General features: G+C 40.5%; 1 protein-coding gene across 15 annotated transcripts in view, besides 1 other annotated feature; it reads left to right on the top strand.

The window, feature by feature from the left end:
• Nucleotides 1-18207, top strand: part of PPARGC1A (PPARG coactivator 1 alpha) — a 680885-nt gene that overhangs the window by 496575 nt on the left and 166103 nt on the right. The gene's annotated exons all lie outside the window — the stretch shown is intronic.
• Nucleotides 3062-3604: an enhancer, noted in NCBI's record as "NANOG hESC enhancer chr4:23974350-23974892 (GRCh37/hg19 assembly coordinates)". NCBI's record gives its function as "activates a minimal SCP1, AML or CMV promoter by ChIP-STARR-seq in naive H9 embryonic stem cells {active_cell/tissue: H9 hESC(naive)}" and the evidence as "EXISTENCE:reporter gene assay evidence [ECO:0000049][PMID:30033119]".

Here is an 18207-nt window from a genome sequence, read left to right as displayed (position 1 = left end):
GCATGTCTTTCCCCAGAGATCAGCTCTACTCCTCTTCAGGGTCCCAAGCCTACAGAACTGTTGGAATGTTTTTAGCAAAATCACTAGGTTTTAGGATCCTTCTTTATTTAATGATCAAATAAATGTCCCATGATTCCTCTTTCCTGCCCCACATTATAGTTTATTCACCCTTGTGCTCATTCCTTGCACATTCTGCCCTTCATTTTTCTGAATGTCTCATATTTGCTAAACCACACCTGACTTACTTGTATGGCGAGAATTTCAAACTCCAATAGCTGGCTGATAAAGGACTATCATTATTGTTCTCATTGCTATCTTCATCATTATTGCTAACATTTATTGGGCAGCCATTGCTTTAAGTAGGTTAATTTATTTGATTCTTGCAACAACCATATCCAGTAGTTACTATGGTTATTTGTGTACTGCAGATGCTGAAACTGAGATCATTATGCTATTTGAATATTGTAAATTAGAAATAAAGATTCTTAAGGGTTTACATAATTTGCTCAAGATTGCACCACTGGTAACTGGCTGAAGAATTTGAACTCAGAAAACCTGGTTCTAGCACCTGCACTATTTATTGTTATGCTCTTAAGAATGAATAGCCTAGTTTGGCTGAGCATGGTGGCTCATGCCTGTAATTCCAGCACTATGGGAGGCTGAGGTGGGTGGATCACTTGAGGCCAGGAGTTCAAGACCAGCCTGGCCAACATCGTGAAACCCTGTCTCTACTAAAAATACAAAAATTAGCTGGGCTTGGTGGCATGCGCCTGTAATCCCAGCTACTTGGGAGGTTGAGGAACGAGAATTGCTTGAACCCAGAAGTCGGAGGTTGCAGTGAATGGAGATTGCACCACTGTACTCCAGCCTGGGCAACAGAGCAAGACTCTGTCTCAGGAAAAAAAAAAAAGAATGAATAGCATAGTTTAGATCAGGAAGAGACTCTAGAAACCTTCCATAGTTCAACTCATTCTTTAATCAAAAAGAAGGTCCCAAGTCATTCTTATTTTCACATGGTTGTTTAAGAAATGCCACCCAACAAACTGTAGGCAACTGGGATTATTATTGTTACAACAGATAATAAAAATATTTACCAGTTTTGAATACATAAATACCACTTTACAATCGCAAATCTTCACAGTTGAATAAGATAGATTTCAATTCCCCCATTTTACAGATAAAGAAACCAAGGGCAGAAAATAGTTTAAAATAATTAAATAGTTAGCTAATAATAAACTCAAAACCCTATCTTTGTGGCTGTTTGCATTATAACCTCTCTCCTGCCTTTGTGCTGCGCCCGTAGCCATGGCTCTGAATCCCAAGTCCCCACAGCTGTCCTACTTTGAACAATATTATCTAAATAAAACAGACACTGGAGCCGGGTGTGGTTGCTCATGCCTGTAATCCCAGCACTTTGGGAGGCCGAGGTGGGCGGATCACGAGGTCAGGAGATCAAGACCATCCTGGCAAACACTGTGAAACCCCCTCTCTACTAAAAATACCAAAAAAAAAAAAAAAAAAAAAAAAAAAATTAGCCGGGCCTGGTGGCTGGTTCCTGTAGTCCCAGCTACTCGGGAGGCCGAGGCGGGAGAATGGCGTGAACCCGGGGGGCGGAACTTGCAGTGACCGGAGATCACGCCACTGCACTCCAGCCTGGGCGACAGAGCAAGACTCCGTCTCAAAAAAAAAACCAACGACAACAAAAAACAGACACTGACAGTCCTGGGTGCAAGCCAGCCTTTGCAGCTACTAATTATGTAATTTCCTAACCTTTTCAAAGCTCTTGGAGACCATTTTCTCCTATGTAAGTGAGAGGAAATAATGGCAACCACGTTAAAGCAATTTTTTTAATTCAATAAATATTTATTTAGCACCTTTTATATGATGTGAACACGAGAGACAGGATTTTGACCTCAAAGGTCACTGTGAGAATTAAGCAAAATAACACGTGCAAAGAATTAGTACAATTTCCTGGTATATAGCAAGCACTCAGCAATTGTTATGGTCGGTATTATTGTTACTCTTATTGGTATTATTTTGGATCCATAGCAGATATCTGCTCTGCGTGTATATAACATTGTCACAGATGGTTTGCGGAAACAGCATCCCCACCCAATGCCACACACACACATTCTTAAGCAGGGAACAGTTTTTTGCCATGTTATTATTATTGGATTCTCAATAAATATTGGACATGGTGCAACTAATTCTTAGCTCTCGATCTACTAATACTTGGGCCCGTTCTCTACTGCTACTCCTCTCCTTTTCCATCTTGGTATGCCATCAGAAGTCCCTCTCTTTGATCTCCAATAATCTTCAAAGCAGCTGGAAAAATCTTTTATTCATTTATTTATTTTTAATTATTTTTTATTTTTTATTATTTTTTATTTTTTGCCTCAAGAGCTAGTTTTCCTCCTCCGTAGCCCACCATATGCTGACCCTTTGTATGACTTGGTGATGCAATACCTTAAAGGTTACCAACCCATCCTGGCACCAACACATTTGTTTTGTTTTATGGTTATTAGTGTCCTTTACCAATGATGTTCTGTGTTTTCCCCTGAGCTTTTGATTTCATTTCAGAAGTAGATTCCATATATTCAATTAGGAACACTTTAAAAAAAACTCCATTCTACTGGTTTATAGTCCCATCTGGAGGGAGGGAGTTACTCTGCAGAATAAATTGAGTGTGAAATTTGGCTATGCAATAAGAATTCACTTCCGTTAAGGCAAAGAGAAGAGATGCATAAAATTCAAATCATGCATAGAATAAATGCTTTATCTTTAAGAAACATATAAATAGACATCAAACACCATAGAAACATAGAGGGTTTCCTCTCTCTCTCTCTTTAAGAAACAAATTTGTGTGCAATTTCATAGCAAAAACTTTGCAAGGCAAGATTATGCATGTCCAATGCTGATAAGACTGCCCAATATAAATTTTATGATGCATTTCCTTTAGATTCCATCTTTTTAACCAGCACAATCAAAGAAAGGAAAATAAAGTCTGAAAGCCTTTGGAGAGCCAAGACCAGGCACCTGAGGAAATCAGGAAAGAATTGAGAACCTGATATTGTAGCTAATTTGTGACATTTTTGGCTAAGGCTGCTCTCCTTAAAACAAGGCACTTGCTCTAAATTTTTTCTTCCTTCTTCTTCCTGCCCTTCCTGCAAACATTGGCCAGTGATAAAAATGCTGGGTAAGAAGTGAGAGAGTGAAGCAATAGGAAAGTTTGCAAGCAGCATCCATCCCAAGCCCAGGAAGACCACAGAGGAAGGACTTATCTGATCCTGCAGGGATTTGTCAGTTGGTAGAATCCCTGCAATTGAATAATAATGCAGTTAATCTTTGCTTAACGAGCAGCTGAGGGATTCTCAAACTAACATCACTGGCACACATAGGAAGTCACAGGTCGAAGTCTGAGATGGTCCCTCTGAGAAGCCTTAGGGTAGGACACCTGAAGATATGCATGGAAAATGTGTCTTTCAAGCATCTTCCAATAGAATAATGTTAATATCTTACCGTTTTCTAATGTAACATTCACCAGATTCTGACAGATGAAAATGCTTTCTGTGCTCAGATAAATTTGGGAAATATTGATTAAAGAAAGAAAAATAATTCCATTGTAGGACTTTTCAGAGTCTTTCATATATTCATGAGTGTGGTGAATAAATAAGAGAAACATAGTATGAGACAGCACAAAAGTAGTTTGATTTTTCAGTAAGTATCTCATAGGTCCTTGATTTTTTGAAACACACTTGAAGAGATACTAGTTTAGTGCTTCACAAAGCACTTTCATACGTATTATGTCTGAAAAGTAAGCACATGTATATTCCATCAAGGACGTGTTAAACTATGGTCTGTCAGTTTAATAAAAATTTCAGTTACCTGAGGGGTTGTAAGCCCTCATCTGCAATCCCAATGAGTAACAGAAAGTCATACTTTGGCCATCTCTATCTATAGTTCTCTGAAACTTTCTGTCTTGCACATCTGTTCTTTCTATTTTTAGAAACTGCTGTTTATTTGCAGGAAATATTGAATTCATCTTCCTAGCCTAGGTTTGTTCTACTGGCAAGAGATTTCAGATTTTCATTTTTATCATTATCTCTTTAAACCTGATTGTGTTTAACTTCTGACAGTTTCATTACTCCTAAGCACCACCTCTGATGTTTTACATTTCAAATTTTATTTTATTTCTTTAAATGTCAGTGCCTTTATTCCTGTGTCATTTGGGGAAGATGAATTTCTTCTTTTCCATCCTACTTAACCAACATCATTAGAGATAAGCAACTTGGCAGCCATAACATGCTGTTTCTAAGTACAGAGGATGGTCCTGACGGTAGATTATGTATTATGTATTTGATTAAAAATGGCTGTTTGCTGGAAAAAAAAATATATGTATATATATAATTTAGAGAAAGCTCAACCAATAAAGTTAGATGCCTGAAACACATGGTCTGGGGGTCCATTTCTATCTTTTAGGGAGAGGATCTTTATTTTGGGTGGTGTGATGGTTAATACCGAGTGTCAACTTGATTGGATTGAAGGATACAAAGTATTGATCCTGGGCATATCTATGAAGGTGTTGCCAAAGGAGATTAGCATTTGAGTCAGTGCGCTGGGAAAGGCAGACCCACCCTTAATCTGGGAGGGCTCCACCTAATCAGCTGCCAGCACAGCCAGAATATACAGCAGGCAGAAAAATGTGAACAGGTTAGACTGGCTTAGCCGCCCAGCCTACATCTTTCTCCCATGTTGGATGCTTCCTGCCCTCAAACATCGGACTCTAAGTTCTTGAGTTCTGGGACTCAAACTGGCTTCCTTGCTCCTCAGCCTGCAGACGGCCTATTGTGGGACTCTGTGATCATGTGAGTTAATACTACTTAATAAACTCCCCGTTATATATTTTTCTGTCCTATTAGTTGTGTCCCTCTAGAGAACTCTGACTAATACAGGTGGTTTTCCTGCAAAAGTGGATCAACCTTCAGTAAATGGCAAATTAGGAAATTCTCAACACACTATGCCTCAACTATACTGATGGTTACATCAGTAACCATGTAATACATGAATTACTACATTACTATTACCTTAAATGTATATGGAAACTCACTCCCAAAAATCTCTAAGTACTCTTGCATTTAGTGTCCCATCTATCTAGAGATAATATTCTTAATATATGTATATACATATGAAACCATGGGTACAGCCACTTGGGCAATAATTAATCAGAATTAACCTGGGTCTAGCTTGGAAATTGGAGCGTGGAGCCCTCTGCTGTGCCATGTTAGATGTTGAAAGGTCTGGCAGATCATGCGGTGGGCATGGGAGTACTGAGGTAGCCAGCATGAAAGTGTTTTCATATTTTAACAACAATGCAGCTACACGGTGCTGAATATCAGGCCTGTGTGCATCATCAGAAGGATACTAGGAAATAGACAAAAGTGAGTACTATTTTACTTATTTTAGAAAAATCAAAAAGGAAAGCAAAAATCTGGGACATAATGGCCTTTTGACCTTTAATGAAAATCGTTGTCACTGACTCCTCAGAATAGATACCGACCTGGTATTGTTTCCATTGAGGTAGGAAGAAAGGGTGTGAGTTAGTGACCTGAAGTCCCTTAGCTGCAGTTAAAGTATTTTGTAACACAAACACTCACCAGAATAAATTGATCAAGGCAAAGAACATAGCGCATGACTCCATGAATGGAATCCACTGTTCTCCAAGGGTCAAATTCAAGCTTGTTAATTGTGCTAAACCTTTATGTAGCACTTCCCAACCCCGTTACCTACCCCCTCAGTAACCACGCATTACAGTGCCTGTATCATATGTAAGCAGCCAAGCATATAAATCATGATTTGAAAAACTGGAGGGGCCAGGCTGGGACATGTGGCTAACAGCTTGTTTTTTGCTAAGTTGCAAAATAGCAGGGCTGCACTCAGAGTTGCAAGGTTCATCTGACTTCAGAGCCTGCCATTAACTCATTCAGCCTCAGCTCTAGTGGTAAAGCCCAAGAAGGTTGCACCTGAATGCCTCAGCCCTTTGCAGCAGCAGGCCAAGTTTTGCTTGCGTCATTTGGTTTCCTATCTTACCAAAGGGTTGCTACTATGGTGAGTTGAAATTTATGGTGATCATATGTTTCCTCAGTCCTCTGCAGACTTACACAGGAATCCTTAGACAGAGGTAAAGCATAGCTAGTAAAGTAAGAATCTGTCTAAATGTTAGTAAGTCCACATTGCTTTCAGTCAATCAGGGATGGGGTAGTCATACTCTAAACCATCACACAGAATGCTTATGGGAATCAGTATGTATTTATATCTTATATCACCATCTTGCTGTCTCTTTTGCTTTTGGCATGTTGGATAGAATGGTTTCTTCATCTCTGTGGGAAATGGAAAACAAAACAAAGGGAAGTCCTCCCCCATCCCGGGAGAAAAGATTAAGGGACATACTGGGATATTTTGAGCAAGTAGTAGGAAAAGTTGCTTCCTGTGGAGAGTGTGTAATCCATGTTTCGATGCTGCCCTTGAGGCAGGCATATGTCTGGAACTCCCAACGTGTGTGGGTTCAATGAGTGACCCAGTGGCAGAAAGAAATAAATCATCAGAATGTCCAGAGGTCTAGGACTGGGGCTGAATTTAAAAAGACATTAGAGAAAGTTGATTCCTGGACAGCTGAGATCATCGTGGGAACTTTGAAAGAAAATAAACAATCCACGCCTTCCAGTTTTCCAAAATACTTAATACTTCTTAGGATAGAGTAAACTGTTAAAAATATTAGTAAATACTCACTGAGAACGTTCATGTTTGGTGTGTTCTTCCTGGCACTGGAAGTATCCCAAAAAGCGTAAAAGAAATTGCTACATGTTTATTACGAGAGTATGCATATAGAATTGGCCTAGGTAGGTCACAGCTGCATCACTTACCAGTTTAGTGATGCTGGGAAGGCCAATTAACATGTTTGGGACTCAGTTCCCTTGTTTGCAATAAAACACATAGATAATCCCGGCCTCATGGGATAATTGTGACGTTAGTGTACCTCATATAGATGACATTTTTAGAACAGCGTACACAGTAAGCCCTCAATAAATTTTAGCCATTCCCTAAAGACTCTAAACAGACATTTATCGAGACTCTATCTTTAGTGTCATGGCCATAAGACTTGAATCTTAGACTCACATTGACCATGAAGTAGCTGTGTGGCTTCAGACAAGTCACCTAGCTACTGTGCTTTTCTGAGGCACAGAGCTCTCGTCAGGAAAATTAGAATCTTAATACTCTCCCAGTGGGGCGAGAAGGGTTACTCTGCAGGCCTCCATAACACTCTCTCTGGTGAAAGCCCTTTGCAAGCTATGAAGTTCTGGACAAGTGTGAAGCCTCAGTAGTTCTTTGTTTTTTTGTTTTGTTTTGTTTTGTTTTGTTTTGGGATGGAGTTTTGCTCTTGTCGCCCAGGCTGGAGTGCAATGGTGTGATCTCGGCTCACTGCAACCTCCACTTCCCGGGTTCAAGCAATTCTGCCTCAGCCTCCTTAGTAGCTGAGACTACGGGCACCCACCACCACACCCAGCTAATTTTTGTACTTTTAGTAGAGATGTGATTTCACCATGTTGGCCAGACTGTTCTCGAACTCCTGACCTCAGGTGATCCTCCTGCCGTGGCCTCCCAAATTGCTGGGATTACAAGCATGAGCCACAGCACCTGGCCAATAGTTCTTATTTAATAAGGTATGTATTATTAAGAATAAGTTACTGTCATCCAGTTGCAGAAATAAGGTATTTAGAAGAAAAAGATGACTGTCTTCATAAAAGTATGAGTAGAGAATGAATGGGAAACTAAAGAGTGCTAAAGTTACGTTAGGTGTGGAAGGGACTCCAGCATGATCTGAGGGCTGGGCTGGACTGGACTGGTTGGTTGCAGTGGGATTAACATTGTGCTCTGAAGGAAGGAAGGACATTAGATCAGCAGAAAGGATACCAGAGACCAGTTTCATGAGCATGAAGAATATGATGATAGTGACAAGACTGCAAGCCCTTTGCATTTATGAAGCCCTTCACAGATACAGTGCTGTATGCCCTACTGAATATGTTCTCCTCTAATTCTCATAAAAATACTATCAGATTCCCATTTTACAGATGTGGAGACTGAGGCTTAGAAAGTTTAAGTCACTTGCTTGAGGACAGTGGGGCTTATGGGATCTGGAGGCTGTTCTGCCTGATGTCTAGGATTTCAACCATGAGGCCTCCACAGCCTTTCCATGAGCAAAGGTGGCAGAGAGAGGACCTGGCCATGGGGATGCTAGTGCCAAGTACTTCCTTACTTCCAGTTCTTCTCTTCTGTTGTTTCTAGGGCTTGAAACATTCTCTCCCTTCACCTCTTGGACTCTCTCCTCCTCCTCCTTTAATTTGCTTTTTCTGGGAAGGCTTCTTTTGATACACTATTCCCCACCTCTAAGCTATATGTTCCTATGTACTTTCTTCAACACAGCCCTTGCACACCGCTTCACACACTGCTTCTGTGTCGATAACCTTCAGCAGGATTCTGAGCTCCAGGAGAGCAGAGACAGAGTCTGCCTTACTCATTACAATATTCAAAAGAAAGGAGGATGGAGGAAAAGGCAGAGAGAAGAAAGAAAGGAAAAGAAAAAGGAGGGTTTATATCATCAAAGATAAACCTGATAATGACTTTGGAGGTTCAGATTGTGTAATAATTTTTAGAAGCTTCTTTAGGAAAGAATTCCTGTATCTCTTCCCTTCCCTATACACACTAATGGGAAATTTTTAAATTCCTTCCCTTGAACCTGACACTCCGAGGAGCCAATCAGAAGCCCGGTTCCCGAGTCGGCAGACTAATCCCATCAGCACTGGAGCTGCTGTTGTCTGCATGCGTCTGCTTTACCTACCCAGCTGACATGTGGGCCCCATTGCTCAGAGCCATTGCAGCCAATTTGGTCGATAATCTGCAAATTAAAAATTCAATAAGTAGTTCCCAGAATCATTTTCAAAAGCGGGGACATAGAAATTAACATGTTAATAATCGGCGCATGGTGGCGTGGGTTTTCTGTGGTGGATTGTCATTGCTTTAATTTGGTATTCCAAAAAGGCCACGGGATGCATTCCTTTAATTTTGCTGCACAGAGTGTAGGCTTTTAGGGGTGTTCTGTAAGTATCGATGTGGGTAATGATATTGCATATGGCTTTTGTGGCAACTTAGGCAGGAAATAAATAGGGTGCTATAGGATTCATTAGAATTTCCTTTAATAATAAGGCATTACATCTCAGTACTTTTACTGTGTGGCACATCCTCAAATGAGTTTTGCATATGCTGTCAACAAGGCTGAGAGGTAGGCAGGGACAGAGATTTCTTCCTGTACTCACACATGAAGAAATGCTTTGGGAGATGCATGGCCTCACACCAACAGCTAGTGGGCAGTATGGCGTGATGAGAAGCTGGCTCTCTCCATTCCCAGACAGAAGCCCTCTCCTCTGAATGTTGAACCTGCAGTGCTAACAAATTCATACACAGGTTGCTGTAATGGTTGAGGCATAATAACTTCAAGCCACAATGCCTGGTCTAAAAAGTACTCTGGCAGCAACAAAGCTTTGATAGACAGACCTGGGTTCAAATCTCTGCTCCAGCACAGATTAGTTGAGAGAGTCCATATTCATTCCTTAAGCTCTCTGAGCTGCTGATACCCATTTTAAATGTTGGAGAGGATAAGAACTACTCCAGTGGGTCACTGTTAGGATAAACTACGGGAGATGGGTGAGAAAGTAATCAGTGGATACTTAATGTGATTCCTGGTATTTGAAATTGAAGATGTGTGGGACAAGATATTTGAAAGCGAACACATATTGCATAATCTCTACTGCCCTGTCCATGTGGTAGCTGCTAGCTCTATGTGGTTATTTACATTTAAATTGATTCAACTTATAATAAAATTAAAAATCTAGTTTCTCGGTCTCACTACCCACATGCCAAATGTTCAACAGCCACACAGGGGTGGCTAGTGGCTACCATACTGGGCAGCATTGATACAGAACATTTCCATGATTGCAGAAAGCTCTATTGGATGTTGCTGCCTTAGGAGAAATGACCTCTCCGAGGAAACAGGCAGGGGAGATATCATGCAAAGTCTAGACTCTATGTTGCTGCAAGAGGAGGCCAGAATGAAGATGTGGACCAGTGTGTGCCCACTTTCCTTTGTTTAACAATATTGTTTACATTGGGGCTATGCAAATTGTGTGCGAGCAATACAGTGCGGTGCGTTTAACAGGCCCACTCCAGAACATCCTGCTGATAATTGTGTAGAGCTCTGCAAATGGTGGGTAATTTCCTCTCAGGTGCCTGTTCTACATGCTTGTTTGGCATGCTTTATTGTCGGGTGGATTTACACTCTGCATTTGCCATAAAAACTGTTTCCAAAAGAAACAAGAAGCATGACAAGATAAAAAGCGATATAAAAAGGGTATTTTGTGATTTATTTATGTCAAATTTATGGAAGATGACAGGAGGCATTACAGTTCCAAAATTAGTTGTCGCAGTCAGGCTATAAATCCTGTAGGACAGGAGTTAAAGGAGTGGGTTGGGAATCAGGACCCCTGGGTTCGGAAGGGCCCATAGCAAGGCCAAAAGAAGGCAGAGGATTTCTAGAACCCTCCACACAGGAGCTTCGCCAGCCCTCAAGCTGAGGAGCTGCTGCTTAGTAGCTAACAAATATTGAGTGTTTGCTATGTTTTAAGCACTTTGTCTGTATAATATCATTTGCTTTTCACTAGCTCTTGCTATTTCAATCATTTTACAGATGTTGAAAGTCTGTATTGTACCTCTGTACGGAGAGGCACAATGAATAAGGGTGAAGCTGGAGTAACTTGTAGAGGCTGACTTAAATGTACTCATTATGCTTTCACTAAAGACTTAAATTCATTCGTGCTCTGCAAGCTTTTATTAAGCACCCCCACTGTGGGCCAGACATAGTGTCAAGCATTAGTGGTATAGAAATGATAAGAGGTGAACTCTGCCATCAATAAATTTTTGGTCTAGCAATAAATTGAACTGATACACAAGCAACTGTGATTTTAATCAGTCCAAGAAAAGTGATGTATAGCTATGGATGGGTGATCTCTAGGACCATAAGGAATCTCCTCTCTAATCCCAACTGGAGTATACAGAAGAACTTCATGGAGGAGAGAGTCTTTGAGATGAAGAAGGAAATGGGTCCTTAGTGGTCAGATACGGGGGATGGTCCATCTCTGGTCCCACTGATGGGAGAATAGGGGAAGGATGGTCCCAATGACTTCTCCTTAGCTAATGAAGTGAGCCTTTATTTTCCTGAGAAATGAGTTGATGGCCCCAGTCTATCTATGCTGTCTTTGAAATTCTTTGTATTTGGTTTGTAAGTGGTATCCTAAAGAGGCAAGTGGAGGGAGACAAGGTTTTTTCCTCAATTAGAAAAACACAGTTTAAATCAGATCAAGACTATTGAAACTCTCCTCTCTGTTGGCTTCCACTAAGCACTCTCTCTTTCTCCAGCCACTCTTCATTGAACTTCTTTAAGAATTCTTCTTTGTTCAACCCTCCAGTGTTGGTTCCCCTCCACTCCATTCTGCCCTCAAAAGGATTCTCTTCAGTCTTCTCTTTTCTCATTGCACACACATTCCTGTGTGATCTCATCCCTTCATATGACTCCCATGTGTTTTCTGATCACCCCCAAATCTATAACACCGGGCTTAACTTCTCTTTTGAGACCCAGATCCATATACCACCTGCATATTAGCCATTTTTACCTGAATATTCTGCAGACACATCAGACTTGGTCAACAGGTCTTAAGCATGCTTCTCTTTCTATATTCTGCACAGCAGTGAGAAATACCATGGATTATCAGGAAAAACCCTAGAAGCCAGCCTAGGTCATCCCTTTTCTTATCATCCTTACATCATACTGGTCACCATGCTCTTAACATATTTTAAATCAATCTCCATTTCTAATCTATGACCTTCATAATTAATACTAGTTGCTATGATGAAAGGAGCACAGATTCTGAAGACAAAGTGTTGGGTTTGAATTCTGGTTCTAAAACTTATGTTACTAATTCTCTCTGTGCCTTAATTTTCTCATCTGTAAAAATGGAGGCAAAATATAGTTATCTACCTCTTGGAGTTGTTGCAAAGATTTAATGAATAAAAGAACAGTTCCCAGCTTAGGCAGGCACCATTGAAGCATTTGCAATCATAATTGAACTTGTATTGTAAGGAATCTTGTTCTGTTTGCTTTACATTAATCTCATAGAATCTCCACAATACTGTGTAAGGTTTTCCCTTAGCCAAAATGGTGGTGTGGCTTCACCCTGTAAAGATCTTCTAACTGGCCTCTGGGTATTACCTCCATCTGCTGTGTTCTCCACACTGCTGCCTGACCACATTATCAGGAAGACTCATTTGAAGATTACCAGAACCGTCAAAATTTCCTCCCTGGCCGATCCTTCCTTACTCTTCACCCGACTATGACACCTTCATTTCCCATTCCTTTGGCCAGCTTTCCAGGAGCACCCAGGATCTACTGCAGGACAACCAGGAAAGGGGGTTCATGAAAGCAATTATGCGGTTAGCAGGAACCTAATTTATGGCCACACATTTATGGAGAGGTAAGCTGACCAGAGGGTGAAGGGAAACATACTGACTTCTCTCTAGGGTTTGAGGTAAAACTGTGCCTCCATGTAGATCTTCAGTCCTTCCAGAGTTTCTCCATCTCTACAAAGACAAGATACCTCTTGTTTCAAACAGACTGTGAGTCTTAACTAATAATTACAAAGGGCTTACAGGTTCTAGAAGACAAAGGCATTAAATACCCATGTAACAGAAATTATACATAGATGAAAAAAGAGACATGTAAATTAGATCAACCAAAAGTCACTCATTCACTCTGCTGAGCACTCTGAAAGTTCATCCGGGATTGTCTCTTGCCAGGAGTGAATGGTTTTGAAAGTAAAGATTGTCAATGGTATTTTGCTTGCTAAATGTTCTTGCAGTGGGTAAAGAATGATATTGTTCATGGTAATAGCAATAAGAGAGGCCAGTGAGGGAGAATAATTTGAAAAATGAATATCCCTAGCTATTTTCCTTTGACGAACAATCATAAAAGATCTTCTAGGTTTAATGCTAGGTCCTCATTTCTTTAGCCTGTGTTTTAGAAGCTGATTGATTGTGGTTTTTTCACGGGGTCTCCACCATGTCAGGATCACAAAATGTCACTTTGCAGATAGATGGCCCCCATTGGAAAGGCACTGAGAAATGGCAATTGCCATTCAAAAATCTCAATTTTCAAATATACCTTACAGCTTATTCCTGGCGAGAAACACTTTCCCCCGCTCATGAGCATGCTAAGTGTTGTGCTGAGAAAAAAGGTGGCGAGTGTTCTTCTGAATGAAAGGAAATTTGCAGCTAGGAGCTCAAGTCCCTGGAGCTTAAGAGGCCTCCCTTCTTTTAGTGGTGCTTCTTGCTGTGCAGCTTTCCTGTGGGGTCAGGTAAGAGTAGGAGACAATTGAAATGGAAGAGGTAAAAGGCACAGACTAATGGCAATTGCATTTATCACCTTCCCTACTTGGGTTTCAGTCAAGGTTATAATCTGTACGTGCAGGCTCCCACCTGGCCCTGTGCTCTCAACAGACCAAATTCATGCAGTAAGCCATTGGCAAACAGGAGTCTTGTATTGACTTTGGGGATTGCTCAGTCATAGACAAATATCTTCCTGGCTGGGAAAAGTCAGCCTGAGTTTCCAACACCCAGTTTGGATTTGGAATTAGGAAGCATTGACTGCTTTTGACTGTCTCATTGTCTTGGGCAGCCTTGGACTCAGAGATGGTAGACTCGAGTGGTATCTTCTTAGTGGAGCAGAGGAAAGGCAAGTGGTGAGGTGCTCTTGCTAGAGAATTGTTTGGCTATGAACTCTCTGCGGCTCTCTGAACCTTAGCTTTCTCATTTGTAGAAGGAGGATATTGGGCCAGATGACCCTGTGGTCCAAATGTGATCCACTTAGGTAACTATCCTAAGTTTGGTCCCTTTCCGGGTTGCTTTACTTTCTTTCCCCCATAATATACAACAGAATTTGACAATTGTTGTGGAGTTGATATTGAGACTTTTCTATTCCACAGCAGTATATCTAGAAAAAAATTGTCCCCTTGCTATTTCTACTTTCCCTTGTTGTTATTAAAAAAAAATAAAAAGATGAGAAGAGGGGTTATGGAAGATGGGCTCATTTGGCTTTCTCAGCAGATTTGCTGTTTGATTTCTTCCCCCTAACCCTTTTCGTACTGGCCAGAGGGTTTGATTTAGTTGGAAATGGCACCTAACAGTGCAAATGCTCATTATCTTTATTGGTCGTGATCTGCAAACCCATTTCTTTGTCCAGGGCCTTCAAAACAGCTTATTAGTTAAAGTGTTCACTTTGACACCTTTAGGGCTGGTGTCACCTTGTGGGCTGCCATCACCTTATGGGTAAAAGGATGATTTCAGAATTATCTGTGATGAGCATCTCATCACGGCCTAACATGTACAGGGGGCTTGTGGGAGGCGAAGAACATGGCCATTTAATACCTGTCCCAATTACCACAGGGAAGAGGGCCAGTTCTGGCACAGGGGGCTTGTGGGAGGCGAAGAACATGGCCATTTAATACCTGTCCCAATTACCACAGGGAAGAGGGCCAGTTCTGGCACCATGTGGTTACAATGCAGTAACAGGTGACAGGGCAGTGTGGGAGATAGCGAGTCCTTCTCAGTCAGCCTGGTTGTTATGGGTTGCTCTGGGAAATGGATTCATGCTGAAATTACCCACACATGTTGTCACTGTTTATAGAAAGGATAAGATGTGCAGGGAAGCAGGGGCGATGTCTAGTCTCCCCAATAGGTTATGAAGATACATTTTAAACATGCTGAGAACTTCCCACTGTCCTATGGTTTCTGTAGAAGTGTAAGGATAAATCATATCATTTGTTTTAGCTGCATCCCTGAAATCCTCAAGAAGTAACATTACTCTTCCCTGATCCTCCAGTTAGGAGATTTTGACCTTCTTCTTTCGAGTGCAGTGAAATTTTGGTCAGAGGGAGATTAAACCTAAATCACTGCTCTGTCATCGGAAGTTCTGTTATGGTGGCAGAACTTTCATGGAAAGATAGTACTGTTAGGAGGTGAAAATAGTAAGACGGTGTTACTTCCCTCTTTCCTGACATTATTATTGCTACCTAGAATTGTGCTGCTTTTTTAAAAGCGCTTTCTAGAAAAATTACACACGCACACATACACATTCTCTTAGCCATCTTCTTTTCTTTTACCAACATGTAGACTTAGCTAAGTTAAAACATAGAAACATAATTAATGCAATTATTTATAGATCATTTCCTTGATAATGCTGAGAACACTCACTGTTCAGAGGGATTACTCTAGCTACCATGGTTTTACCATGTACATAGAAGCCCAATTATTCCATCAGTTTCCCAGAGAAACTGGAAAGACTTATGTTAGTAATGCTTAATTATTTTATGAATTTGGGCAGATTAAGGGGAGCCCGAGGCCTCAGGCAATTTAACAATGTGATGGCTTTGCCTTAGGTAGAAATAAGAGAGCTAATTGAACTTGCTTGTTAAACTAACCCATCTGCAGGACACATCACACAGTTCCAGATGATGGTGCTCTCTGCCGGAAATAATGATAATTTCGCCATTTTCCTTGTAGTCATTTTCACAGGATAAGTGTGTTATGCACAGCGAAACTCTATGAAGGATTTACCTGCCCAAGTCTTGCCCAAGTAGGCTCATGGGTTTTGGCCATTCCTACCTTTCAAAATAGGAGCCAAAGATGAGCAGCTCATTGTTTTGGCCAAACTAGTTGTCATTTACCTACTTTTGTATGTTCTAGAGAAGGGTTTCTTGATCATACCTCAGCATTATTGACATTTTAGGCCAGGTAATTTTTTTGTTGTGTGAGGCTGTTCTGTGTGATGTAGAATGTTCAGCAACATCCCTGGCCTCCACCTACTCAATGCCAGTCATCTCTCCCCTCTTGCATCCCAGCAGTTGTCACAACAAAAAAATGTCCCCTGATATTGCCAGGTGTCCCTTGAGCAACAAAACTGTTACTGATCTAGAGACATTCCCGACACAAAAGAATAAATATTTAGACCTTCCTATCTAAAGTAGAGGCTGAATCTATCTGGCCACCTTATCAGGGGATTTCAAATCAGTTTTTAAAGGTTAGCCTAGATTGTTGCCTGATTCAACTCAGCAGGAAAAATCATACCGTGTTGTGTGTGAACTAACTATAATTTATTAGCTCATTAGTCTGGCCTTGAAATTGCCATTTTGAGCACTTGCCCAGGCTGACCAAGTTTATAGGCTGAGTTGCTTTTTTACAGACTCAAGGTTTCCCCTCTGCTTTTGGGCACTCATTGCATGAGCCTGCTGAGCTTATCATGGCCTGGTGCGCTTACTGATAAGCAGCCTTGACTTGTGCATCCAAATATTTGAAATCTTCTGCCACCATTACCTTCCCGGCTAATATGAAAGTTCTGCTCTATAAATGAGAAGGACAAAGAAGCACTGATCAGGACAGCTAAGAAGGAAGAAGACTGACCTGTCATAAATACCTTTCTCCTTCCATCTTCATAGGAGACCCCAAGAGCTCATAGCTTCTTGAGGGTTTAGAAGGGCAGCAAGACTCATTATATTCCTGTTGGCATCTTTCCAAGTTGCCAAGAGGAAGGCAGGCAAGTGATTTTCCCCAAAGCCACGTCATGCTGGTATGCCCCTACTGAAGAAACAGAGTGGATTTTTTACTTCTAATTACTCTTACTCTGTTTTCTACATCTTATTATCACCTTCTGTAGAGTTAGCAATCATACTGGTCAATTGAGAAGGTTTCTGCACTCAGGAGTATGTCATACACATTCTAACGCCATAATAAGTACTGAAATATGCAAGAGGGGCACATTTCATTTTACCTTGGATTTGATGCCTGCACGTAATTTGGAGACTGGGCAGCCAGTTCATGTATCCTGATGGATTTTTATCTGACCAGGTGTTCACTTTGTTCCCTGCTTAGCTCTCTGTCAGCAAAGAGCTCCTCCTCATGTTGACTCCATTGAGGAGCACCATATGGTGGGCAATGCCGCCCCTTCGATCAATATAGTCACATTTGCATTCATTCTCTGATGAGATGGTAAAGGGGAGACTCCTCTCCTATTGAGAGAACCTGTTTGGAACAGAACTGAGCATAGAATTCAGTTTTTCCATGTGATGAAGATTTCTTTCTCGCTCTTTTTTTTTTTTTTTTGGTTTGGTAAATACATCAAGAGTACTAGCTAAAGTCATTTATTTGCATACTCAAGTTCTAGGATATGTTCCAAATTCTGCTCTGTCAATATGAATAAGCCCTTTAAGGATAAATAATACAAATAAACATATTTTTAAAGAACTAAGGCAAATAGTATTCTATTCGAATATATTGCTGCTAACATTTTCTAGCCTTTCTTAGTAGGAAGGGCATGTCAATCTATTTTTATTCCATGTCTGAGTCTTGATTAAAGACAATTCTGTTACTTGAATAAGCTTAACACTTTCTAGAGATAATTTTACTATAAATATTATGGTATAAATATTTTACATTAGATATTTGAGTGTTTTAAAAAGAAAGCACAATGAGTTATGCTCACAAACATAGGTATGTATTGATGTCCATGTAAGATTACCTTTTGAAAAACTCCCTTGTATTTGAGAAAAATTGATACCATTAAGGCAAAATGAATTGCTGGAGTAGATTACACTTAATACAGATGTATTTACATAAAATAAAGCAGAGTTTTAGAAAACATAAAGAAATTTTTGAGTTATAAACTTGGAAATTGTTTAGGACCCCAGGCTCAAATCTATTTTTGTTATGAATTTGTGGTACATCTGAAATCTATTTATTGGCTATTTATAACCTCAGTACACTGACTTACATGTTTGTCTTCCTGGAGTTTTCTGAACATCTAATAAGGATTTCAAATTGTTTCATCTAGAGGTATGCTTACATTTATATTACACCTTTAATTCTATATACAGTAAACATGACCAGTAATTAAAATGAAAAGTAAGTAAAATGATGATTATTGTAAAAATCGCCCAGTGCTTCGAATTGACTCAAACTTGAACTGAACAGAGTTATTTGCACTTATTACATACAGCC

The sequence above is a fragment of the Homo sapiens genome, chromosome 4 (assembly GCF_000001405.40).
Source record: "Homo sapiens chromosome 4, GRCh38.p14 Primary Assembly".
In the NCBI taxonomy this organism is placed as follows: Eukaryota; Metazoa; Chordata; class Mammalia; order Primates; family Hominidae; genus Homo; species Homo sapiens.
This window is presented reverse-complemented; position numbering and strand designations above follow the sequence as displayed.